The 27,783-nt window shown below is 37.9% G+C and overlaps 1 protein-coding gene across 10 annotated transcripts in view; it reads right to left on the bottom strand.

Annotated features, from left to right (window-relative positions):
* VPS54 (VPS54 subunit of GARP complex) overlaps positions 1-27,783 on the bottom strand; it is a 127,279-nt gene that overhangs the window by 72,742 nt on the left and 26,754 nt on the right. For 6 of the 10 annotated variants that reach the window (XR_007076389.1, NM_016516.3, XM_047444728.1 and 3 more), the window contains 5 exons: positions 18,973-19,128; positions 16,755-16,996; positions 7,275-7,353; positions 4,066-4,100; positions 944-1,075 (listed from right to left, as the gene is read on the bottom strand). Coding sequence is in view for 9 of the 10 variants with exons in the window: in NM_016516.3 (NP_057600.2) it covers positions 944-1,075; positions 4,066-4,100; positions 7,275-7,353; positions 16,755-16,996; positions 18,973-19,108 (624 nt within the window). In the remaining variant the exon portion in view is untranslated. The remainder of the gene's footprint in view (positions 1-943; positions 1,076-4,065; positions 4,101-7,274; positions 7,354-16,754; positions 16,997-18,972; positions 19,129-27,783) is intronic. The other 4 variants (NM_001005739.2, XM_047444729.1, XM_017004316.2 and 1 more) reach the window with 2 other exon arrangements.

The raw sequence follows: 27,783 nt of genomic DNA on the forward strand, positions 1-27,783 counted from the left end.
AAGAACAGAGATCAAATGTCTTTAGAAGACTCTTGATAAGTAAATTATATTTAAAGATCTAAATATTAAATGACTTTCAAGGTGCTGACTTCTGGACTATGACATTGTAAAACGTAAAGAACTGCTGACTAGTAACATGTAAAAGACTAGGCTTTGCAAAGCTACAAAAACAATAGGAATATTGTATTCTTTAAGATATTTTTGTTTCAAAATAATCATCCCTAGGTGAAAATGAAAAACAGTACCTCGGAAAATATTGGTTTTCTGTGCTTTAAATCATTCTTATAAAATTAGCCAATGTGGGGCTGGGCATGGTGGCTCACATCCGTAATCTCAGCACTTTGGGAGGCCAAGGTGGGCGGATCATGAGGTCAGGAGTTCGAGACCAGCCTGGCCAACATGGTGAAACCCCATCTCTACCAAAAATACAAAAAATTAGCCAAGCATGGTGGCACGCACCTGTAGTCCCAGCTACTTGGGAGGATGAGGAAGGAGAATTGCTTGAACCCAGGAGGTGGAGGTTGCAGTGAGTGGAGATCGTGCCACTGCACTCCAGCCTGGGCAACAGAGCGAGACTCCGTCTCAAAAAAATAAAAATAAAAATAAATAAAATTAGCCAGTATGTAAATAAAATATCTGGGACAAATGCAAAGCAATTTATTGTGTTAGCTAATATAGCCTTTCAATTAAAATTCCATCAACTGCTCTTTCAGGTAAGAAGCACTCAAATAGTAAGTTTTTCCTTGTTCATCTGCACAACTTGTGTTCCATTGAACCAAAATGCTGTTAGTTTATCAGTTAAGATTGGGAGGCTTATAGTTATCAGTAAGAACAAAAATGAATTTAAAAGTACAGCTTACTAAATAACTAAATCTGAACCCAAGCAAACAGTACCGCTTAACTAGAATAGTTTCCTACATGGAAAAAGTCAAAAAGAAATTACCTTTTCTTGAAGCAACTTTGAGGAAGCTGCATCACGATTTCCTTTTCCACCAGCAGTATTAAAATGAGACCATGGTAAAACTGAATTAAAAGTTAAGGAATCATCCAAGGCAAAATCTGGTTTCATAAAAATCTATTAAAAAAATGCATTTCCCTCAATTAGATAAGTATTTTCTTTATACCCATTATCTCTTCTAACATCATGATCATTAAACAAAATTAACGTGGATCTTGAGTATGAATAGCAAAAGCAAGTGATAACAGTTGAGTTCTTTACACAAATATCTATAAGAAAAATGTGTAAATTTCTCACCAAGCTTAAAATACTCATAAAAGATACAAAATGTTTTTTGCCTTTACCAATGGAGATGGTCATTCTATTACTACATGATCATACTCACTCATGCAGTCCTACAGGTACATACCAGAGGCAGATATAATACTCATCCTAAAATTTCCACATTATTTCCCACTGATAGTTTTTTAAAATGCCAAATATCAATTTCTCTAACCTATATTTCTATTTTCTCCTGCTCAAAATTGTTTTAAAATTAGTTTAGATTAAGCATACAATAAATATTAAAACCAAAACAAATTCAATTTTATGAATAGACTACTCTTCCCTTACATATCACGACCAGCTAAGCAATAAGGCCTACCCGTTATATTTTGTAAATATACCTTGAATCTCTGCTTTCCTGTATCTCCACAGCATTCAGTAGTTCAGCTCTTCAATAGCTATTTACTGATATCCTTCCCTAATCTATCCCCTATACTACTGTTAGAGATACTCCTCTACAATGTCAAGTATAACTGTATTAACTTCCCTGTTTAAAACTCTCAATAGATTCCCATGACCCACAGACCAAACTATTTAGAATGGCATCCAAAACCCTTCATTGTTTTTCTGGACCCACTTACCTCTTTGTATCTTGTCACTCCCACTATTTACCCATTACACTCTAGCAATATTCAATTCTCTTCCATACTCTTATTCTTTTTACAATGAGTGTATTAATACATAAAGTATGCATATCTTTACATACATACTTCTGGCCTAGAACGCCTTTTCTTGTACATCTTCCTGAAGAACATGACCCAATCAAAAGGGCAAATGTGTCGTTGTGCATGACATAATGACTCCCATCTCTGAACACAAATATATCATGCATACTTAATTATTTACCTCATACTTTATAGAAATTATTTATTTAGTATGCATATCTCCCTCTGGAGACCATATGTTCTTGCAGGGTTAAATTTATAGCTTATTTTTGTACCTCTAACACCTAGCATAGGGCCTAAAACATGGTTTAATCAATTTATGTATTTATTTATATGCTATATTTTATTTACTGATTTATTTTACCTATATACAAAAATTAGAATGAATATGGTAGGAAAAAAATCTAACTAGAGACATGAGTAAATTTTCTAATCCCTGCTTTGGTATTATAACTAAAAGTATTGATTAATTCAATAAATATTTACTGACTACTTCTGATGCTAGGCACTGAGGGAGAAACAAAGATAATTTATTAAAGAGACCCCAATCTCATGAAGCTTCAATCCAAGGGATGTGATAAAATATTATAAGGAGACTGGGCCCAGTGGTTCATGCTTGTAATCCCAGCACTTTCGGAGGCCAGGTGGGCGGATCACTTGAAGTCAGAAGTTTGAGACCAGCCTAGCCTGGCCAACGTGGCAAAACCCCGTCTCTTCTAAAAATACTAAAATTAGCCAGGCCTGGTAGCAGGCGCCTGTAATCCCAGCTACTCAGGAGGCTGAGGTAACAGAATTGCTTGAACCTGGGAGGCGGAGGTTGCAGTGAGCCAAGATTGTGCCACTGCACTCCAGCCTGGGCGACAGAGAGAGACTCTGCCTCAAAAAAAAAAAAAAAAATCTTATAAGGAGAAGAGGGACAAATCCTTAAAGGGGTAGCAGAGGGATGAGGGAAGAGTCCCAGATAAAATGTTATGGGAATTTGGCAAAAGGGCCAATTATCTTCTGTTGGAAAGAACAAGAAAGTACCCATGTAAAGCTGCCATTTTAAGCAAAAGATTACAGAGAATTAGATATGGGAAGATGAGGGAAAAGTCTTCCAGGATCAAGAAACAGTGTAAGTAAAGCACAGAGCCATCAAAAAAAAGTTTGGCTGAAGTAAAGAATGTGTAAAGATTACATGAAGTGAACATTGAGCCTTAAATGACAAACTTTGAGTTTTATTTTGTAGGATCAAATAAATGATATAAATGATATCCTTCTACCTTTTTTGTGTCTTTCATCTCTTTCTTACCCTAAAGAACAACTGTCACAGACCTATTTGAGAATCTGATGAAGGTAACTGACTCTCTTCCCAGAAAAAAATGGATTATACATCTCGACAAAATTTTTCATACAAAGTAAGTATCTCTTAATAATTTGAAGAGGTTGAATGATCAGCAAAATTTTTTTAATGGAAAGATTTTAAAATATTTGTAGGTTTCAGTGATGAGAAAGAGACTGATGATGCAAAAGAGAAAAAACACCATAAATATACATCATTTTTATTTGTCAATTAAAAACATTTTTTCGTTTAAAAAAAAAAAAAGAAAAAGGCCAGGCATGGTGGCTCACACCTGTAATCCCAGCACATTGGGAGGCTGAGGTGGACGGATCACTTGAAATCAAGAGTTCAAGACCAGCCCGGCCAACACGGTGAAACCCCATCTCTACTAAAAATACAAAACAAAAAAAGTAGCTGGGCATGGTGGCATGCGCCTGTAATCCCAGCTACTCAGGATGCTGAGGCAGGAGAATCACTGGAACCCAGGAGACGGAGGTTACAGTGAACTGAGATTGCACCACTACACTCCAGCCTGCGAGACGGGGCAAGATTCTGTCTAAGTTAAGAGAAAGAACAGAAAAGCAGAAAGAAAAAGAAAGAAAGACAGAAAAGACAGAAGGAAGGAAAGAAAAAAAGAAAAGTGAGAAAGAAAGAAGAAAAGTGATGCAACACAGCCCCACAAGAGACAAAGTAGCCAAAGGGTCAAAAAAAAAAAAAAGCCAAATGAAATCTGCTTGTAAGGCAAAATTAAAGATCAAATATTATAAGGCAATTTTCTCATGTTTAAGCTTTGTTACCTTAGGTACTTGCTCCAGATCTGTCCTGGATTTATCTATTTAAAAAAGAAGGGAAATATTATTTTTAAAACTTGTTTTCATTTTAACTCCGTAAAATACATTTTGACAGATTCAGTATTGTACTGGGTCACATCCAAATAACTAAAGTTTATTCCTTCAACAAATTATCTATCAAGCACCTATTACATGCCTAGTAGTAGGCAAAGCGCTGAACAAAACAATGTTTCAGGTAATTGTAATCAATTATATAGCAGCAATAAAACAGCAAAATACATCTCAAATCTTTTTAATCAGACATAAAAGGCTTTATGCTATCTCAGTGGTCCCCAACCCCTGGGCCATGGCCTGTTAGGAACCAGGTTGCACAGCAGGAGGTGAGCAGTGGGCACAAGCAAAGCTTCATCTGTATTTACAGCCAGTCCCCATCAATCACATTACCGTCTGAGCTCCACCTTCTGTCAGATCAGTGGTGGCACTAGGTTCTCATAGGAGCACAAACCCTAATGTGAACTGCACATGTCAGAGATCTAGGTTGTGCCCTCCTTATAAGAATCTAATGCCTGATGATCTGTCACTGTCTCCCATCTCCCCCAGATGGGACCATCTAGTTCCCGGAAAATAAGCTCAGGGCTCCCACTGACTCTCCATTATGATGAATTGTATAATTATTTCATTATATTTTACAATGTAATAACAGTAGAAATAAAGTGCATAATAAAGGTTCATCCCAAAACTATCTCCCCGCAAACCCCTTGGTCTATGGAAAAATTGTTTTCCATGAAACCAGTCCCTGGTGCCAAAAAGATTGAGGACTGCTGTGCTATCTTTTCAAGTTTTGGTAAGACTGAATATGGCATGCTATGTAATTTTAAAAAATGAATTAAATTCTAAAGTAGGAATATTGTTTTTATTGTTTAAAAGATCTATCATCCCATCCAGAATTTCTTATGATCAAAGGTTGCTTTTTTATACTACATTAATTTTCTTCTCAGACATCTTAAGGCTGAGATACACACTTATCTTCAAATGAACCTACTTTACTTTCATCCTGCCAATCCCAACTCAGATAAGGTACTACTCTCCTCTTCAAAACCAATCTTTCTGCACTTAGACTCCATTCCCTCCTGCCTCTGCTGTGAGCTTGGTTAATCAGTTTACTCCATCTCAGTATCTTCAGCCTCTTCCCTTGTACTAGCTCTCTTATCTTTGTATATAAACATGCTCAGTTCTTTCCCATTAAAAAAAAATATATATATACACACACACACACACACACACACATTCTAATATATATATAGATATATATAGATATATATAGATATATATAGATATATATAGATATATATAGATATAGATAAAACCCAGGCCAGGACCAGGTTGAGGGAAGGGCAGGACCTCAGATGCAAAAGCACTCACTCTCAGGGATAGTCAAATGCCTCTTACCCGATCTAGTCCTGGCCATGAAAAAATATTCTTCCACTCTGTTCCCTGTAGTCAATAATCTATCTCAAATCTTCTAGTGACATAATACTGGTAGTCTACATTTCTTTCTCTTGTACTCACTCCTTAATATATAGTATTGAGGTTTCTGGAACTGCCATAAATGCTCTAAGATCTCCTGATTGCCAAAATAAAGGAGACTTCTCAGTGTACAAATTGATCTATCCCGAACTATTCTGACATTACAGACCAACTAACTGTTCTTACTTTCTGAAATCCTCACTAGCTTTAACTTTTAAGGTGCAATTCTCTCTTGGTTGACTTTCCTATCTCTCTGACCACTTTTTGTCTCCTTCACAGGTATCTCATCTTCTGTCTGCCCCTTAAATGAGACAGCTTAATTAGTGCTCCATCACCAGTCGTTTTCTTCTCACTGTTCACATCTTCCCTGGGCAATCTCACCCAACGTCCTTGGATTCAACTACCATGCTATTGTCCAGCATACCTGTCTATGATGATGTCTACCATACCTACATCTTCAGCCTAAATCTTCAACCTGAGCTCCAGGTTGCCAAAAAGGCATGTTCTTCACTGCAAATCTGCAACTAAACTTGCCTCCATCTCCCTCAAAATTCCTCCTCCTATATTGCCTCTCTCACTGAATTGCACTGTCACCCACCCAGTTGTCCAAGCAAGAAACCTGGGAATTGTCCTTGAATCATTTTGCTCCATTACCAATAACTGGCCACCAAAACCTGTGTCTCAATCTCTGAGTTACTTCTCAAAGGCCTAATTCCCTCTCCATCTCCACTGTAACTGTTACTGGAATATCATTTCTCATTTGTATTACTGCAGTAGCCTCCAACTGTCTCCTTGCCTCTAGTCTAATCATCATCCCATAATTCACTATCCACAACTATTTTCACATAAATGTATAATCATAAATCTGATCATGCCTAGTTAAAAATATTATGTAGCTTTATAGTGTCTTCAGAAAAGGTAAAATTCCTTACCACAGCATATAAGGTTCTTCATGATCTGACCACTGCCTATGCTTCAGTCTCATCTCTTGCTCCCAGTAGAACCAATATATTAAACTCTTACAGTTCCTTGAATATTCTGTTCTCTCTTTATTCTATGGCTTTGTATAAACTATTCCCTTTTCTTGGAATGTCTTCTCCCACATAAATGTTTCAAACTAACGACTTTAAAACACATGTAATCACTGTCAACTCTAGGAATGCTTCTAAAGCTAAGTTACGCATGTTATAAAACATTACCACACTGAACTTACTCTTTAATATACAGTGATACAATTATTGGTTTCTTTCTTTAAACTTATTCAGGACAACATCAGTTCTTTGAGGACCAAAGCTACTTTTTACTTATCTATAGATTTACTTTAGGGTATCACTACGTTACTGTTCTCAAACTCATAGGCTCAAGCAATCCTCCCACCTCAGCCTCCCAAGTAGTTGGGACTACACACATGTGCCATCATGTCTAGCTTACTCATCTATTTTTAAGCAACAAGGAACATACCAACCACGAAGATATCCAATCAATATTTGTTGAACTAAAGGATTATACTACTATCAGATCTACTTTTTCTCTTAGAAGTTCTTAGAAAATATTATAATCATAGGTTATAAAAATTTTACTAGAAATAAAAATTATAGATATAACAGGCAATAAGGTCCCAAAATAAAGATTTTGTTCACTAATATTTATGCTATGCTTTATTATCTATAAATAACACATATTCATACCATGAGTATGTAAAAGAGTCCTTTCGAAGGTATCTTTAGGAGGACAAATATTCTTGCATCTCTCATGAATCTTCTCTCTCTAATAAAAAGACAAATAACATCATCAATGTATGTGTAAACATGAGTATTCAAAGCATGAAAGTGTTTTGCAACAGAATATCAGAATATGCCAAATTAGTCCTACGACTTTTAATATGAAATCACTAGCCTCCTGAACTTAAATACAAGTAACAAGCGGTTAATAAACCAAATACCTCTATGAGATCTATGCACATCTATATACCTACATCCATTCCATCTCATATAATTATAGTAAAATCTCCATATGTAGAATAAAGTGAGAAAGCAAATGGAAAATATTTATGTATGAATTAGGAGAATAATTTGAATCAAGAAAGAAAATTCAAAAACCTATATATCTAAGATAGAAACAAATTAGGCCAGGTGCGGTAGCTCACACCTGTAATCTCAGCACTTTCAGAGGCCAAGGCGGGCCGATCACCTGAAGTCAAGAGTTCAATACTAGCCTGGCCAACATGGTGAAACCTCGTCTCTACCAAAAATTAGCCAGGAGTAGTGGCGCACACCTGAAATCCCAGCTATTGGGGAGGCTGAGGCACAAGAATCACTTAAACCCAGGAGGCAGAGGCTGCAGTGAACCGAGATCATGCCATTGCACTCCAGCCTGGGTGGCAGAGTGAGACTCTATCACAAAAAAAAAGAAAAAAAGGAAAGAAAGATAGAAATTAGTTATTGACACGTTCTGAGTAAAAAAAAAAAAAATCTCACTCTGATTTAGAATTAGATGACCACTAACAATGTCATTATCTTTTCAGAGATATCACCGAAAGGATACCTGAGAAAGTGAAGTGTGGTAACAAGAAAAGCAGCAGGCCAGCAGTGTTCAGAGTTCTGGTAGCAATTCTATCAGTTACTACAGGACTGTTTTCCAAAGTGGCCATACCACTTTTCATTCCCACCAGCAATAAATAAGAGTTCCTGTTGTTCTACATCCTTGTCAACATTTGGTGTTGTCAGTGTTTTAGATTTTTGCTATTCTAATAGATATGTAGTGGCATCTCATTTTAATTATGAATTCCCTAATGACATTTGATATTTAGCATCTTTTTATATGCTTATTTGCCATCTGCATTATCTTCTTTGGTGAGGTATTTAGATCTTTTGCTCATATTTTTTAAGGAAAAATACATATAACATAAAATTTATCACGTAAAATTATTTGCTATGTTGACCATCTTTCCATGTGCTAATTGCACACTTCTATATCTTTTTTTGGGAAAAGGTCTATTCAAAGTCCTTTACTCATTTTTTAATTTGGCTGTTTGTTTTGTTGTTGTTGAGTTTTAACTCCTTTGTTTATTTTTGGTACCAGTCCCTTTTTGTTTTTTGAGACTGGGTCTAGTTCTGTTGCCCAGGCTGAAGTTGCTGGCTGTAACTTCAAATTTCAGGGCTCAAGCAATCTTTCTGCCTCAGCCTCCAGAGCAGCTAGGACTACAGGTCCACACCACCATGCCTGACTAATTTTTCTAATTTTTTCTTGTACAGATGGGTTCTCACTATGTTGCCCAGGCTGGTCCTGAACTCTTGGTCTCAAGTGATTCTTCCACCTCCACCTCCCAAAGTGCTGGGATTACAAGGTGTAAGCCACCACACCTGACCACCAATCCTGTATCAGATATGTGTTTTCTAAGTATTTTCTCCCAGTCTTTGGCTTGTTTTTTCATTCTCTTAAAGGTGTCTTTCACAGAGTAGAACTTTTTAATTTTAATGAAGTTCAACTTTTCAATTTTTTCTTTCATGGATTGTGCTTTTCTTTCATATCTAAAAAGCCATTACCAAACCCAAGGTTACCTAGATTTTCTCCTATGTTATCATCTAGAAGTTTTATAGTTTTGCATTTTACATTAAGGTCTATCATCAACTTTGAGCTAATTTCCATGAATAGTGCAAGGTGGTATGTCTATATTCTTTCTCTTTGGTATGTGGATGTATAGTTGTTTCAGTACCATTTGTTCAAACAACTATCCTTTCTCTACTGAATTACCTTTGCCCCTTTGTTAAAAATCAGTTGATTGTATTTGTGTGGGTCTATTTCTGGGTTCTCTGTTCCACTGACCCATATGTCTGTTCTTTCACCAATATGACATTGTCTTGATTACTGTAGCTTTATAGCAAAACTTCAAACTGAGTGGTATCAGTCCTCCAGCTTTGTTCCTCTTTTAATACTGTGTTAGCTATTCTGGGTCTTTTTCTATATAAGCTTTAGAGTCAGTTTTCAATATCCAAGAAACCAACTGCTAGGATTTTAATCAGGATTATGTTGACTCTATTGATCAAGTTGGGAAAAAGAGACACCTTGACAATATTGAGCCTTCCTATCCACATATATGAAATATCTCTCCATTTATTTAGATATTTAATTTCTTTCATCAGTCTTGTGGTTTTCCTCAGATAGATCTTATATCTATTTAGATTTATACATAAAGCCTTCATTTTCTTTGATGCTAATGTAAATGGCATTGGGTTTTTAATTTCAAATTCCAATTGTTCATTGCTGGTATATAAGAAAGTAATTAACTTTTATATATTAACCTTGTATCTTGCAAGCTTACTATAGTCACTTATTAGTTCCAGGAGTTTCTTTTTGGATTCTTTGGGATTTTCCACATAGACGATCATTTCATCTGGAAACAGTTTTACTTCTTCCTAATTTTTATATATTTTATTTCCTTTTCTTATTACATTAGTTAGGACTTCCAAGACAATGTTAAAAGAAACAGTGACAGGGGACATCCTTACCTTGATCCTGTTCTTAGTGGGAAGCATCTAGTTTCCCCATTAGCTACAGAGTTTTTGTAGATTTTTTTTTTCTTTTTTGAGACAGAGTCTCACTCTGTCACCCAATCTGTAGTGCAGTGGCGTGATCTTGGTTCACTGCAACCTCCACCTCCTGGGTCCAAGTGATTCTCATGCCTCAGCCTCCCAAGTAGCTGAAATCCCCATTGCAAAATTATAACTGAGACAGTGAAAGAGATCTGACCTAACCAACTCCATCTTGCTTCTAACCTCCAAGCTGTTCTTGTCCATTCTTGGGCATAGGGTGAACTAACTTTGGGAGGAACTTAGCTTATAGTTTAAAACAAAGATGATAACAGTCCTTTCCCAAAACAAACCACCTTCTTGCCTGGGGGCTAGACTACCTTTGTTGGACTAACAAATTAGCCACAAGATTAGAAATTACGGTTTAGGAGTCGAGTCATGCAACTGGAGACTACAAGATTCTGACCCTCCCCCTAAACTGCTCCTAAGATCCATGCTTGAGATATTTTGCAGACCCTGTACTCGACGGATCAGCTGGTACCACCCAGATCAATAAACTGCCTCATTTGATCTTGTTGGCCCCACCCAGGAACTGACTCAGCACATGGAGATGGCTTCTCCCTATGATATCATCGCTGACCTGACCAATCAGCACTGCCGGCTCACTGGATTCCCCTTACCCACCAAGTTGTCCTTAAAAACTCTGATCCTCGAATGCTCGGGGAGACTGATTTGAGTAATAACAAAACTCTAGTCTCCCACACAGCCAGCTCTGTGTGGATTATTCATTCTCTATTGAAATTCCCCTGTCTCAATAAATCAGCTGCCTAGCCAGCAGCAGGCAAGGTGAACCCATTGGCAATTACATAGCTGGGATTACAGGCATGCGCCACCATGCCCAGCTAAATTTTGTGTTTTTAGTAGAGATGAGTTTCACCACGTTGGCCAGGCTGGTCTCAAGTCCTGGCCTCAAGCATCCTGCCGAAGTGCTGGGATTACAGGCGTGAGCCGACACGCCCGGTACATTCTTTATCAAGTTAAGGAAATTTCTTCCTGTTCCTAGTTTGCTAAGAGTTCTTTTTTTAAAAATAATGAATAGCCAACACGGGCAGACTGCTTGAATTGAGGAGTTTGAGACCAGCCTGGACAACATGGCAAAACCCCGTCACTACAAAATATGCAAAAATTAGCCAGGCGTGGTGTTGTGGTGGTGCTCGCCTGCAGTCCCAGCTACTTGGGGGTTGCTGAGATGGGAGGATTGCTCGAGCCGGGAGGTTGAGGCTGCAGTGAGCTGTGATCCTGCCACCGCACTCCAGCCTGGGCAACAGAGCGTGACCTTGTCTCAAAAAAAAAAAAAACAAAAAACAAAAAAACACACAAGAGGTCTAAAGTTTTCTTTCCTTATAATGCTTTTGTCTGATTTTAGTATTAGCTTCATGACAGCCTCACCAAATGCATTAGTAAGTATGTCCTTAGCTTCTATTTCCTGAAATAGATTATAAATAATTGGTATAATTTCCTACTGAAATGTTTGGTAGAATTCACCAAGGAACCCATCTGGGCCTGGTGATTTCTGCTTTGAGCAGTATGATTGATTCAATTTCTTTAATAAATATAGGCCTATTCAGAATATTTATTTCTTGTTGTGTAAGCTTTGGTAAATTGTGTCTTTCAAAATAAATTGGTCCATTTCACCTAGGCTATCAAATTTCTGGGCATAGAACTGTTCACAATATTCTCTTATTATCCTTTTAATGTCTGCAGGATCAGTAGAAACAGCCCCTCTTTCATTTTTGATACTAGTAGCTTATATCTTCTCTTTTTTTTTTTTTTTTTTTTTGAGACAGAGTCTTGCTCTGTCACCCAGGCTGGAGTGCAATGGCACGATCTCAGCTCACTGCAACCTCCGCCTCCCAGGTTCACGTGATTCTCTTGCCTCAGCCTCCCAAGTAGCTGGGATGACAGGTGCCTACCACCATACCCAGCTAATTTTTGTACTTTTAGTAGAGATGGGGTTTCATCATGTTGGCCAGGCTGGTCTCGAACTCCTGGCCTCAGGTGATCCACCTACCTCAGCCTCCCAAAGTGCTGGGATTACAGGCATGAGCCACCATGCCCAGCCTTCTCTTTTTTCTTAATCTAGCTAAATGTTTATCAGTTTTATTGATCACAAAGAACCAGCTTTTGCTTTTGTTGATTTTCTCTACTGATTTGCTATTGTCAATTTCCCTGATTTCTGCTCTAATTTTTATTACTGCTTTTCTTCTGCTTAATTTGGATTAAATTTGCTCTTCTTTTGATAACTTCCTAAGGTAGAAGCTTGGATTATTAATTTTAAATTTTCTTCTTAAGCATTAAATGAAGCCTTCAGTGCTTATTTAAGCAAGACTTCCTTGAAGCCTTACTTCCCTTGCATCCCACACATTTTTATAAGTTTGTATCAGCATTTCTTTAAGCTCACTGATTTCTTCCCCTGCCACTTCAAGTCTATTAATGAACTCATCAAAAGCATTCTTCATTTCTGTTATACTATCTTTGATTTGTAGCATTTCCTTTTGATTCTTAGTTTCCATCTCTCTGCTTACATCTGTTCTTGCATGTTGTCCATGTTTTCCACTACAGCCCTTAGTATATTAAACATAGTTACTTTGAGTTCCCAGTTTGATCATTCCAACATCACAACCGCATCTGAGTCTGATTCTGATACTTGATCTGTCTGTTTAAACAGTGTTTTCTGTCTGGTATGCACTGTAATGTTTTGCTGAAAGCCAGATATGATATACCAAAGTTAAAAAGAACTGAGGTAAATAGGCCTTTAGTATGAAGTTTTGTTTATCTGGCTAAGAGTTAGGCTTTATTTACTGATTGCTATAGCTGCAGGTGTCAGAGGCTAAAATTTCCACTTGTGTCCTTGTTTTTCACCTCTCCTACTATCTTCAGGTTTCCCTGCAGACCTCTTAAATAAGGTCTGAGACATGTAGTCCTTTCCGTTGTATTCTCATTATTCAAGCACCCCACTGATGTGGTGGTAATGCGTGAAGGGAGGGGAAGCATTCTATGATCTTATGATTAGGTTTCAGTCTTAGTGAGCCTGTGCCCCTGGGCTGCGACCTTCACAGGTGCTTCTCAGTTGTTGATTTTCAGTTTGCTAAGGTTTTTTGTTGTGAGAACGGAAGTGACAACTTCCAAGCTCCTTACATGACAGATCAGAAGTATGTTTAGCTTTTTAAGAAACTGCCAAACTTTTTTCCAAAGGGGTTGTAGCACTTTAAATTCCCACCAGCGGTATATGAGAGTTCCAGTTACTCCATGAAGGCTGGCAGTAGGATGAAGCAAGCAAGAAGCATACGGTACAATATTTAAGGAGGTACCCACTCTCAGATTTCAGTGCCTCTCAAATTTTGCTCACCTGCCTCACCTTATCCTAGAACCAGACCTGTCTTCTACATCTTTACCAAAATTTGAAAGAATGTGTGTAGATTTGGAATTACTTTTTCTGTAAATGTTTGGTAGAATTCACCAGTGAAGCCATGTGGATCTGAGCTTTCTTTGTGGAAAGGTATTTAACTATACATCAGTGTAATAAATATAAAGCTATTTCAGATTTTTCTATTTCTTTTTGTTTTGTTTTTTGAGATGGAGTCTTGCTGTCACCCAGGCTGGAGTGGAATGGCATGATCTCAGCTCACTGAAACCTCCACCTCCCAGGTTCATGGGATCCTTCTGCCTCAGCCTCCTGAGTAGCTGGGACTACAGGCGCGCACCACCACACCCGGCTAATTTTTGTATTTTTAGTAGAGACGGAGTTTCACCATGTTGGCCAGGCTGGTCTCGAACTCTTGACCTCAGGTGATCTGCCCACCATGGCCTCCCAAAGTGTGGGGATTACAAGCGTGAGCCACCATGCCCAGCCAGATTATCTATTTTTTCTCGAAAGAGATTTGGTATTTTGTGTCATTCAAGAAATCTGTAAATTCATCTAAGTTGTTGAATTTACTGGCACAAAGTTATTCATAAAATTTCATTATTAGGCTTTTAATCTCTGTAGAATCTGTAGTGATATCACCTTTCTTATTCTTGTTATTGGTGACTTTTATCTTCTCTTTTTTTCCTAATCAGTATGCCAAAGGCTTATCGAGTTTATCTTCTCAAAGAATCAGCTTTTTGTTTCACTAATTTTCTCTGTTGTTTCTCTAATTTTGACTTTGATGTTTATTCTTTCTTTTTTCTGTTTGTTTTTTTTTTTTTTTGGAGACGGAGTCTCGCTCTGTCACCCAGGCTAGAGTGCAATGGTGCGATCTCGGCTCACTGCAACCTCAACCACCCAGTTTCAAGCTATTCTCCCACTTCAGCCTCCTGAGTAGCTGGGATTACAGGCACCTGCCATCATGCCTGGCTAATTTTTTTGTATTTTTATAGAGACAGGGTTTCACCATGCTGGCCAGGCTGGTCTTGAACTCCTGACCTCAGGTGATCCACCCACCTTGGCCTCCCAAAGTGCTGGGATTACAGGCATGAGCCACTGCACCCAGCCATTTTTCCAGCTTCTTCAGGTGGAAGCTGAGGTCACTGATTTGAAATCATTCTTCTTTCAATAATATATGCATTCAGTGCTACAAATTTCTCCCTAAGTGCTAACTGAGCATCACCCCACAAATCCTGATATGTTGTGTTTTCATTTCCATTCAGTTCAAACTACTTTCTGATTTTTCTTTCTTCTTTGACTCACATTTTATTTAGAAGCATAAAGTTCTGGTTTCCAAATATCTGTGGATTTTCCACCAACCTTTCCATTATTAATTTCTATTTTAATTATACTGTGGTCAGAGAGCATACTGTGTATGAGGTAAAGTCTTCTAAATGTATTAAAATTTGTTTTCAAACCTAGAATATAGTCTATGTCCATAAATGTTTCATGAACACTTGAAAAAAAAGTATATTCTTCTATGTTATATGGAGTGCTCTTTCAAGTCAGGCCAGGTTGGTTAATGGTTCAAGTCTATTATAATCTTGCTGATATTCTGCTTGTCCTATTATTTATTGAAAGAGTATTGAAATCTCCGTAATTATGAATAGCTACTTTGCCATAAAATTCTCAGCTTCTGCTTCACATGTTTTGAAGCATGCTATTAGGGGCAAAAATGCTTAAAACTGTAATGTCTTCTTGGTTAGCTGACCCTTTTATCATTATAAAATAACATTATTTATACATACTAATAGTTTTTGCTCTGAAATCTACTTTGTTATTAATACAGCCATTTCTGCTTTCTTCTGACTACTGTTAAGCATGGTATATATTTTTTCCTCCTTTCAAATGCTTTTTTCTTTCTATTCAAGGTATGTTTCTTATATACAGCATATACTTGGGTCATCAGATCTCACAATCTCTGCCTTTTAATTGGGATGCTTAAACCATTTAGATTTGGTGTAATTACTGATATGATTAGGTTTAAGATTATCATCTTGAAATTTATTTTATGTCCTATCCATTCTTTTTTTTCTATTTATGGCTTTGTTTGGATTGAGAATTTTTAAAATTCCATTTCTGTCTTCCATTATTAGCTGTAATTCTTTGTTTTGCTATTTTAGTGGTTGCTTTAGGGTTTATTGTTAAACCCCTTGCTAAAAACATAGCTTTGTAAGGGAAGGAATGGATGTCAGTTTTGTTCTCTGCTGTATCCTCATGTTTAGAAGACTACCTGACACATGGAAGGCACTCAATAAATATTTGATCAATATACAAATAGAAAAACCAAATTATAGGTTACAAAGGCATATTAATGTTCATCTACTTAATCACTTAGATCTGATCATTGAAAACAGTTTTTGTGTTGTTTTCAATGATCAGATCTAAGTGATTGTTAATATGGCAATATATACACACAAAGGCAAATAAAATATATAGGTTCTGTATAAAAATATTTGATAGGAATAAAAATGAACCAGATGCTATATAGTATTAATGTTAATACAGCCATATTCAAAAAAGTGCAAAGTAAGTAAAATAAAACCAGCTAAATTCAAATTAGGCTTGCTAATGAAAAAAGTATAAAAAGGAATGGTTATAAAAATATAAATATCCCCTGTACCACTTTAATGATTTTAATTGTATTGATAACAGCCACTTACTAATAATCTGAAGATGAATTGATAGACCATCTAAAACTCTGCACTATACTCAGTTCTTGCTCTCAGACAGGGTTTAAAGTAATATATTAAGTTATAATTATGTCTGGAGATATTATAACTATCTGCTAGAGCTAGGGTGCTCTATAGAATTGTATGCAGTGAATCAGACACAGAAACAGTAATATTCTGCCAATTTCTCAAACCTCACAAATCATCTGGACTTTATAGGCCTAACAGAATCATTTTCTCCTTGGTAAGCAGGGTAGGTTTCATGTTGAATCTTAGCATTATTTGGAATGTGTAATTCTGAAAAATCACTACTGTAAGAGAAATGTATTAAAATATATTTAAGCAAAGAATTAAATGCAACCCAGGACAGTACAATTTGTATGAACGAAAAGAATACTATAGGTTCATCAAACATTACTGGTCAAAAATCTATAATAAAGCATACTAAAAATATTTCTATTACTTTTGACCTGACTGTAACTAGCCAAGATTAGATATTACCTGAGAGATTTCCTGTTGATATACTGTAAAATGTTCCTTGCTGATCTGTGGGAGGTAGAATGAAGGTATGACTTCAGTGTCCACAAAGTCCAATCCCCATGTTTTTGTGAAGAAGTCAGATTCTCTTTTTGCTAATCTAGGATCGTTTAATGCTGCTGGGAGATTTACTTTGGAATGATATACAGTCCATCTATGTTGATCTGTAACTAGAGATGGGGCAACATATAAACTATGTGAATCACCTGCAAAAAGTAAACAAGAGAACTCTGTAAATGCTGTAAAATTGGTTCTATGTTTGAAAGTACACACTAGAAAACTAAAAATGCACAGATTCCATCTTACGCAAACCAACTAATCTTCCACAGTAAATGATTTAATAAAAATCAATCTGATTGAATAACCTTCAGCTGGCAGCATCAATTACTAAGGCTTTGAAAAATATGCACGAGATAAAAGATATGCAAAATTTGAGAACTACGATTGCAGGGTGGAGTGAATAGTAAAGAAAGTCTTTCATGAACTCCTTTCCTTAATGTACAATTACTCTATCTTTTTTTTTCAACATCAGAACTATGCTGCTTTCTATTATGTATTTTCTATCCTTTAATACCCCACTGTTTTTTAGAGGTAGGCCTCTTTTCTATTATATCATGGCAGGATCTCCTAGATAAAATATCCTTTGGCTTATAATTAGGTGACATAAATGTTGCTGTGGCATTAACCATACAAGAAGGAAAATTTTACTCTATTCTCATTATTAGTAGTGTATTTGTTCTATAAAGTTATTGTGAATATTGAATTAGCAAATATTGAACCACTGCTTGTAGGGAAACTAAAGAGTTAGGTTCCTGCGAGCCTTTGGTCACAATAGTTTCATCAACTGATCAATACATAACCTTGTTTTGTGTGTTTAAAGACGCCTTATTCAGTATACATCATTGATTCACTAACACCGAACTTGTGGCTAACAGTACTATAATTTATGCCTGAATGAAGCTTACACAACACATGTATTTTCTCCATAAGGGACATCATAGCCTTCTTGCACTTAGGAACTCCAGATAGCATTTTAGCACTGCGCTTAGGGGCAATTTAAACAGCAAAATCACCAACAAAAAGCTCCAAACATGTGGCACCAAGTAAAAACAGACCACAAAAAGAACATTAGTTTATAGTATGAGAGCTGAAACAAAAAGGCAGAGCTTTGTCTTGTTCAACTTCAGCTGGGAATGCATGTGTCAGGTATCTCAAATCTTTCACTGCTCTGCACATGACTGCAAATTACCACAAATGTGCCGCAAGTAGTGATTTGGGGATTATGAATAAATATTAAGGAGTCAGGAGAATTTGCAAATACACAATATGCAAATGATGAGGGCTGACTGTACCATGTTTTAACTAAGCAGCTTTCAATCTGTACCTTCATTTTCAACACTTTTTCAGTTTATATAAGTAATGCATGAAATACATTAAAAAAAAATTTCAATTTCCCAATCATTTCCAAATGATTTTTTTTTTTTTTTGAGAAACAGTCTCGTTCTGTCACCCAGGCTGGAGTGCACTGCAACCTCCACCTCCCAGGTTCAAGTGATTCTCCTGCCTCAGCCTCCCAAGCAGCTGGGATTACAGGCACACGCCACCACACCCAGCTAATTTTTTATATTTTTGGTAGAGATGGGGTTTCACCATGTTGGCCAGGCTGATGTTGAACTCCCTCCTGACCTCAAGTGATCTGCCTGCCTTGGCCTCCCAAAGTGCTGGGATTACAGGCGTGAGCCACCACGCCGGGCCCCAAATGATTTTTTTTTTTTTTTTTTGAGATGGAGTCTGTCTGTCACCCAGGCTGGAGTGCAGTGGCCCGATCTCAGCTCACTGCATGCTCCACCTCCTGAGTTCACAGCATTCTCCTGCCTCAGCCTCCAGAGTAGCTGAGACTACAGGCGCCTGCCACCACACCCGGCTAATTTTTTGTAGTTTTAGTAGAGACAGGGTTTCACCATGTTAGCCAGGATGATCTCGATCTCCTGACCTCGTGAACCGCCCACCTCAGCCTCCCAAAGTGCTGGGATTACAGGCGTGAGCCACCGTGCCCGGCCCCCCCAAATGATTTTTAACATCATAAAATTTACTCTTCTAACGTTGGTATATAAAACCTGACTACTCATTTAAAGATAATAGAAATCATCAGTAAAAATCCTACAAAAAAAAAAAGCATTACCTGTGGGTTCCTTGGGACACACATCTGGCAGTGATGGCACAGGTCGAATGTGTTTTGACGGATCTACCTCTATTTTAAAGAAAACATCACTGCTGCTTCCTTGAGGCACTGGTGAAGAACTGTGGCTTGAAGCCATTGCATAAAATCACCACTCAACTGAAAATGAGTAAGAAATACTAATTAAGACACCGCAAATCAAAATCCAAGTATTATACATGTCACAAATTTTCTTTCAAAAGCAAAAGAATTTTTCAAAATACCTCAAAGTAGGCAATTTGAATATTTGCTCTTAATTGGGAAAATTGATCACAATATTTAGTTTACTAAGATAGTTATTTGTCCCCATTTTTAAAAAAGTGAAACACCCTTAATATTTTATTCAAAGTACAAAAAATACCAAGGTTGTACCCAACATATATTAAAGATTAAAAACACTCTATTCATTCAGCAAGTACACAGTAGTTATGCATTATAGCAAAACAGATAAGTGCATGGGTTTTGAAGTATCCCTGCTTAGGTCCATCTATGTTTACTCACTAGTGGTGAGGAAATTTACTTAACCTTTATGTATCTGTCTTTCCTCATCAGTGAAATGGAGATGAAACGAGATCTTATCTCATCAACATCCTGTTACCAATTATGAGAATGGACATAATAAGTAAAGCATTTAAAATAATGTCTGCCTCAGAGTTAGTATTCAGAGGTTACTGTCATTGTAATTATTACTATGATGTGACTGCTACATAGTAATATAATGATTAAAAAATAAATAGTAATTAAATTCTTTAAAAAGGAAGTGTCATTCTTCAAAGAGCTTGCAACTGTATTAAGTAATTAAAACAAATATATGTAAGCAAAACACAAGTTAACCTATGTCTACATTTTAAAGTAAATACTGAAATAATTTGTGGAGCAAGACAACATAATACAGGCTACAGGGTCAGGTAAGACTTTATAAATGAAGCAATATTGAAACTGGACACTAAAGAACATGCATTGTTTTACTACTGAAATGTTTAGAGATCACCTAGTCTAAGTTCTCTCAAAACAGAGAAGAATAGAAAGGCCCAGAAAGAATATGAGGTTTAACAAGTCTAAAAAAACAAAACAAAACAAAAAGCCAAGTTAGAAAATCTGGCAAAAAGATAAATAAGAGTAGGAAATGGGGAGCAGAGGCTGGCACAGTGGCTCATGCTTGTAAATCTCAGCACTTTGGGAGGCCAAAGCAGGCGGATTACTTGAGTCCTGGAGTTCAAGGCCAGCCTGAACGACATGATGAAACCTCGTATCTATAAAAATTACAAAAATTAGCTGGGCGTGGTGGTGCATGCCTGTAGTCCAGTTACTCAGAAGGCTGAGGTGAGAGGATTGCTTGAGCCTAGGAGGCAGAGGTTGCAGTGAGCCAAGATCACGCCACTATACTCCAGCCTGGGCAACATGGTGAGACCCCGTCTCAAACAAACAAACAATAAATAAAAAATAAGGAGCAGAGATATGAGGCAAGAACCCATGACAAATAGTTCATCTGTTCTAACTTCCCTCTAGTTTGCTGGAAAACTAAAAATATGTATCTGTCTCAGTACTTTCAAAGCAAAGGAAACATAACCAAATATACCATTCACTGAAACAGTAAGAAACAAGCTGCTTTAAAAATACACAAAGATAAACAACTTCCTCAAGGTGCTTAAACAGAAAGCCTACAATAACATGAACAAAAGATAATGAACACTGAATAATCAATCATAAGACTAAGGAACTGACTATAGTGGAAACTGACCTAAGTGAAATGTTTACACTGGGAAGAAGTGACAAATTATACACACACACACACACACACACACACACACACACACACAGTATAGTTAAATTGTAGTTGGTTCTCTATGCAATAAGGAGACATCAGAGGTTTGGTGGCAAAAGTTCTGTGATGAAAATGCTATTTTGGGAAAATTAAGAGTCTTTGAAAGGCCTCTGTCATTTATATCCACACACATTAAGTGTATGGTTGTTTCTGTATAAAAGTTTACACATATTTAAGAGAGATAAACATGTATCTTTATCTAAAGGATAATACACATACTTATCTAAAGGGTAAGAAACACTGTACAACACAGAAACACTGTACTAAGTGATAAAGACAATTCTACATTTAAGATTGACCATGTTAACTTTCTCATTAATCAAATAAAACAGCAAAAAACATTTTTGAAACTTTTTCAATTTTTGTGAGTACACAGTAGGTATTTATCCTTTGTGTTACTATCAAATTATACTTTTAGTTATTTTAAAATGTACAATAAAAATGACTTTTTACTCTAATCACCCTGTTAGGCAAGCAAATACTAGGTCTTATTCATTCTTTCTATTTTTCTGTACCTATTAACCACCACTACCTTCTCCTCCAGGCCCCCTTCCCCCACACTTATCCTTCCAGGCCTCTGGTAACCATCACTCGAGTTTCAATTATTTTCATTTTTAGCTCCCACAAATAAGGGAGAACATGTGAAGTTTCTCATTCTGTGCCTGGCTTACATAGTGACCTCCACTTCCATCCATCTGTTGCAAATGACAAGATCTCATCCTTTTCTATGGCTGAATAGTTCTCTATTGTGTATATGTACCACATTTTCTTTACTCATTCGTCTGTTGATGGACATTTCAGCTGTTCCAAATCGAGGCTATTGTGAATACTGCTGCAATAAATATGGATATCTCTTCAATATACTGATTTCATTTATTGTATATTCTTAGGAGTGGGAATGCTGGATCATACAGCTCCGTTTTCAGTTTTTCGAGGGACCTCCAAACTGCTCTCCACGGTGATTGTACTAATTTACATTACCACTAACCGTATGAGGGTTCCCTATTCTCCACATCTTCGCAAGCACTTCTTAATGCCTGTCTTTTGGATAAATGCCATTTTAACTGGGGTGAGATAGCTCATTGTACTTCTGATTTGCATTCCTCTGATGATAAATACACCCATGTGCCATTTGCATGTTTTCTCTTGAGTAATATCTATTCAGATATTTTGCCCATCTTTTAATCAACATATTGGATTTTTATCTATAAGGTTGTTTGAGCTCCCTATATATTCTTGTTATTAATCCCTTGTCAGATGGGTAGTTTGCAAATATTTTCCTCCCATTCTGTGGGATGTCTCCTCACTTTGTTGTTTCCTTTGCTGTGCAGAAGCTTTGTAACTTGATGTGATTCCATTTGTTCATTTTTGCTTTGGTTGCCTGTGCTTGTGGGGTATTTATTCAAGAAATCCTTGCTCACTTCAATGACCTGGACATTTTCCCCAAGGCTTTCTTTTCGTTGTTTCATAGTTTGAAGTCTTAGATTTAAGTCTTGCATCCATTTTATTTTTGTATATGGCGAAATAGGGTCCAGTTTCATTGTTCTATCCATGGATATCTAGTTTTCCCAGCACAATTTATTGAAGAGACTGTCCTTTTCCCCAAGATTGTCCTTTGTTAAGAATGAGATCACTGTAGATGAATGGATTTATTTCTGGGTTCTCTACTTGGTTCCACTGTTCTATGTGTCTGGTTATATGCCAATACGTTGTATAATTTGAAATCACATCATGCGGTTCTTCCAATTTTCTTTTTTTTGCATAGGATAGCTTTGTTTATTCCAAGTCTTTTGTGGTTCTATATAAATTTCAAGATTGTTTTTTCTATTTCTCTGAAGAATTTAATTGGTATTTTGATAGGGAATACACTGAATCTGTAGATTGCTTTGGTTAGTATGGACATTTTAACAATATTGATTCTTCCAATCCATGAACACAGAATATCTTTCCTTTGTGTGTGTGTTTGCCTTCAATTTCTTGAACCAACATTTTATAGCTTTCACTGTAGAGACTTTTCACTTTTTTGGTTAACTCCCAGGTATTTTATTTCTAGCTGTTGTAAATCTAGCTGTTGTTACTTTCTTGATTTCTTTTTCACATTGTTCAGTGTTGGCATATGTAAATGATACTGATTTTTGTATGCTGATTTTGTATCCTGCAACTTTACTGAATCTATCACTTCTAATCATTTTTTGATGAATTCTTTAGGTTTATCCAAACATAAGATCATATAATCTACAAACAAGGATAATTTGACTCCTTCCTTTCCAATTTGGATGCTTTCTTTCTTTCTCCTGTCTGACTGCTCCGGCTAGGACTTCCAATACTACGTTGAATAACTGTAGTGAAAGTGGGCATCCTTGCTGTGTTTCAGATCTTAGAAGAAGGGCTTTCAGTTTTTCCTCATTCAGTGTGATAACAGCTATGGGTCTGTCATACATGGCTTTTACTGTTTTGAGGAATGTTCCTTCTATACCCAGTTTTGAGGGTTTTTATTATGAAAGGATGTTTAATTTTATGACATGCTTTTTAAGAATCAATTGATATGTTTTTTCTCCTTCATTCTCTTGATATGATGTATCACCTTTGCACATGTTGAACTATCTACATTCCTGAAATAAATCCCACTTGGTCATGATGAATAATATTTTTAATTGTTGTTGAATTTGGTTTGCTAGTATTTTTATTGAAGATTTTTTGCATCAATAGTCACAGATATGTGTTGCGGGAAGTCAGGGACCCCGAACCGAGGGACTGGCTGAAGCCATGGCAGAAGAACATAAATTGTGAAAATTTCATGGACATTTGTTAGTTCTCCAAATTAATACTTTTATAATTTCTTACGCCTGTCTTTACTGCAATCTCTGAACATAAATCGTGAAGATTTCACGGACATTTATCACTTCCCCAATCAACAATCTTATGATTTCCTATGCCTGTCTTTATTTTAATCTCTTAATCCCATCATCTTCGTAAAATGAGGATGTATGTCACCTCGGGACCCTGTGATGATTGCGTTAACTGCACAGACTGTTCGTAAAGCATGTATGTTTGAACAATATGAAATCTGGGTACCTTGAAAAAAAGAACAGGCAGGATAACAGCGATGTTCAGGGAACAAGGGAGATAACCATTAGGTCTGACTGCCTGGAAGCCAGGCAGGACAGAGCCATATTTCTCTTATTGCCAAAAACGAGTAAGAGAAATATTGCTGAGTTCTTTCCCCAGTAAGGAATATTAATAATTAACAGCCCTGGGAAAAGAATGCATTCTCGGCCGGGAAGGGGGGCCTCTAAAATGGCCGCTCTGGGAGTGTCTGCCTTACGCAGTTGTAGATAGGGATGAAACACGCCCTAGTCTCCTGCAGCACCCCCAGGCTTATTAGGATTAGGAAATTCCTGCCTAGTAAATTGTAGTCAGACCGGCTATCTTCTCTCAAACCCTGTTTCCTGATGTTTATCAATGACAGTGCCTGCACAGCGGGACCGGGAACCTCATTAGTAATTCTAGTTTTGCTCTGGCCTTGTGACCTTGCCCTGTCCATTTGCCTTGTGATATTTTGTTGCCCTTGAAGCACGTGATCTCTGTGACCCACACTCTATTCGTATACTCCCTCTTCTTTGAAAATTGCTAATAAAAACTTGCTGGATTTTCGGCTCAGGGGGCATCATGGAACCTGCTGACATGTGATGTCTCCCCCAGATACCCAGCTCTAAAATTTCTCTCTTTTGTACTCTTTCCCTTTATTTCTCAGACTGGCTGACACTTAGGGAAAATAGAAAAGAACCCACGTTGAAATATCGGGAACTGGTTCCCCCGATATCTGGTGCCCAGCATGGTTTTTCTTTTTTTCCTAAGTGCACGTGGGAACCCGATTCCCTTTGGTAGGTGCGGAGAAATGTCATCGGTTCGGTCCACAGAAATGCTTGTTCGACTCCCTGACAACTGGTGAGTAGTCTGTGAATTTGTCCAGGTTAACTACGGGTCACACGGAGTCTAAAAATTATGCTTATCTCTTCTATATTACACTCTGGTTAAAACAGAAAAGGGTTTGAGTGCCCATGGAAAAAATGGTCACTCTATTCAGGGCAGTGGGAAAATACTGTCCTTGGTTTCCTAAAAAAGCAACCTTAGATGTGGACCTGTTAAAACAGGGAAGGGTCCGAGTAACCATGGAAAATATGGTCACTCTATTCAAGGCGGTGGAAAAATACTGTCCTTGGTTTCCTGAAAAGGGAACCATATGTAAAAGTATGGGATCGTGTTGGTGCAACATTCCAGGAGCTGTTCCCGGCAGGGAAATGTGTTCCTGTCACTTTTTGGGGTGATTGGGCCTTGGTACATGTCGTCCTAATGACATACCAATCCCGTGACCCCCTACAGTTAACACAATTTTCTGAATGTGAGGACCCTCCACCTCTTCTCCAACTTTCCTCTCCCGCATGGACTTCGTTATCTGATCAGCCTCTCCCTTCAGCTACTCCTCCCCCACCTAACGATGCTGAAAATTCAATGTCTAACTCTGGTGACTTTGGCTTAACGTTACCCCCTGCTGACCTTGTTTCTTTTCACGAAGAGCCAGTACTTATAAGCTCCCGCGGCCACGACTCAGACAGCCCGGGACCATATACGCTAATTCTTCTCTCTTCAAACCTCCGGAGTCACCTAATGGCTCCAGGACCAAACTACAATTTACCTATAATTCTTCAGGCCCTACCCCATCCACTTCAGCCCCTCACTCTCCTGTCATTTCCATTCCTCAACCGGTCACTTTGCCATCCACTCAGCCTGCCTCTCTGTACCCTTCTTCACACATGCACACCAGTAATCACCAGGATACCTCTGCTCCTTCTGCTCCCTCAATGCCCCTTTCTCACACTCTCATCCTGGTCCGACCCCCTCAACCTCAGTTTCCCTTATCTACACATGCTTTTCCTATCACTTCTATGCCAACTCTGTCTCAGATACCTACTCTTGAAACTTCAATGCAACACTTATTATGCCAAAACAAAGAAACAAGTGGATTAGACACGTGGGCTTACCCAGTCACACTAGAACCTCCTATCTTCCAAAGGGTACAAATGTGTCGTTATGTACCTCTTAATCTTAGCTTTTTAAAAGAATTTAAGGATGCTTGTACTCAGTATGGTCCTACTTCTCCTTATGTTAAATGGTATTACAAACTTTTTGTACTGAGGTCATTTTGCTTCCTTTAGACTGGGACCTTTTGGCAAAAGCTTTTCTAACCCCATTAAAGCATTTACAATTTCGTATCTGGTGGTCACAAGAGGCCCATCTGCAGGCTCAGCTAAATCGGACTAATAGTATTCTAATTACTCAGGCTCAGCTCACAGGCTCCGATAGTTTCTCTGATACTTATGCCCAATTAAACTTTGATGCTCTTACCACAGAACAAGTAACAAAGGTGTGTATGAGAGCTTGGGATAAATTATGCGCCCCAGGCCAAGCTCCTGTTTCTTTTACTATGGTTAAACAAGGTCATGATGAATTATACCCTGATTTTTTAGCTAAATTACAAGATGCCATTGAAAAATCTGTCTGATGAGCATGCTCAAGGTATTCTTTTTCATATGTTAGCTTTTGAAAATGTGAACCATGAGTGTAAAATGGCCATGCATTCCATCCAATGACAAAATTTACCTGATCACGAGGTGTTCCCTGCATATATTAAAGCTTGTGAAGGCATTGGATCAGACACCCACAAAGCTATTCTGTGGGCACGGGCCATGAAGGACCAATCAAACTGGCCCCACTAATTCTTTTCTTGGAGCCTGCTATAATTGCAGTCAACTTGGTCATACTCAGAAAAATTGCACTGTTAAAAACTTAAAAGCGGCCAAGCCGGCTCAACAAACATGGCCAAATGCTGCTGCTACTGTTTGCTCACGTCGTCGCAAGGTAAACATTGGGCAAGTACTTGCCACTCTAAGTATGATACAGATGGAAACCCCCTACCACAGAACCAGGGAAATGGGAAGTGGGACCAGTCCCAGGCCCCAATATCAAATGGGATGCTTCAGACTCAGACCAACATTGCATTTCCACTTCAGGCAGTCCCAACGCAGCCCCCACCACAAACAAATTTACCTACAGTCAACCCAGATGGGTCCCAGCCTCTTCTTCTCAGTACAATGCTTGTCCACCTCCACGTTAGGGGTTGGGGCGGTCGATCTCTGTAGCACTATTCCTCTAAATTTACTACCTAACTCTTTGCCTTTAATTGTCCCCACAGGGGTCACTGGCCCTTTACCTCAAGGTTTGGTGAGCCTGGTGTTAGGTAGGGCATCCACCTCTGCTAAAGGAATCACCATTCATACTGGTCTCATTAATTCTGATTCAGTTGACGAGATTAAACTAATCGTGTCTGCCAAGCTTCCTGTTTCCATTCCGGCCGGTGACTCAATTGCTCAATTGCTTTTACTACTTAATATTGTTTTAAACAAAGGAGATAAGACACGTGGCCCTGGAAGGGGCTCCAGCAGCGAAAAGGCCGCTTATTGGATTAATGTAATTTCTGAACAACAGCCTACCTCCATACACATTCAAGGAAAAAAGTTTGAGGGTTTAGTAGATACTGGGGCTTAAATTAACATTCCACCTAACTCTTATAGTACTCCCAGTCAGCATATGATGGAAAACATGCGGTATGTTCCTGGACTCCGTCTCCGTCCAAAACATGAAGGGATTACTAAACCCCTCCCAATTACTATAAAAGAAGACAGGGCTGGTTTAGGTTATCCTTTTTAATGGCGGCCACTGCCACGCCTCCTGATCCTATTCCTTTACAATGGAAATCTGACACACCCATTTGGATTCAGCAGTGGCTGCTCTCTAAAGAAAAACTGGAGGCTTTAACTCAATTAGTTTCTGAACAGTTACAACTTAGAAATTTGGAACCTTCTTTCCCGCTGGAATTCTCCTGTGTTTCT

Source organism: Homo sapiens, chromosome 2 (assembly GCF_000001405.40).
Source record: "Homo sapiens chromosome 2, GRCh38.p14 Primary Assembly".
Taxonomy (NCBI): Eukaryota; Metazoa; Chordata; class Mammalia; order Primates; family Hominidae; genus Homo; species Homo sapiens.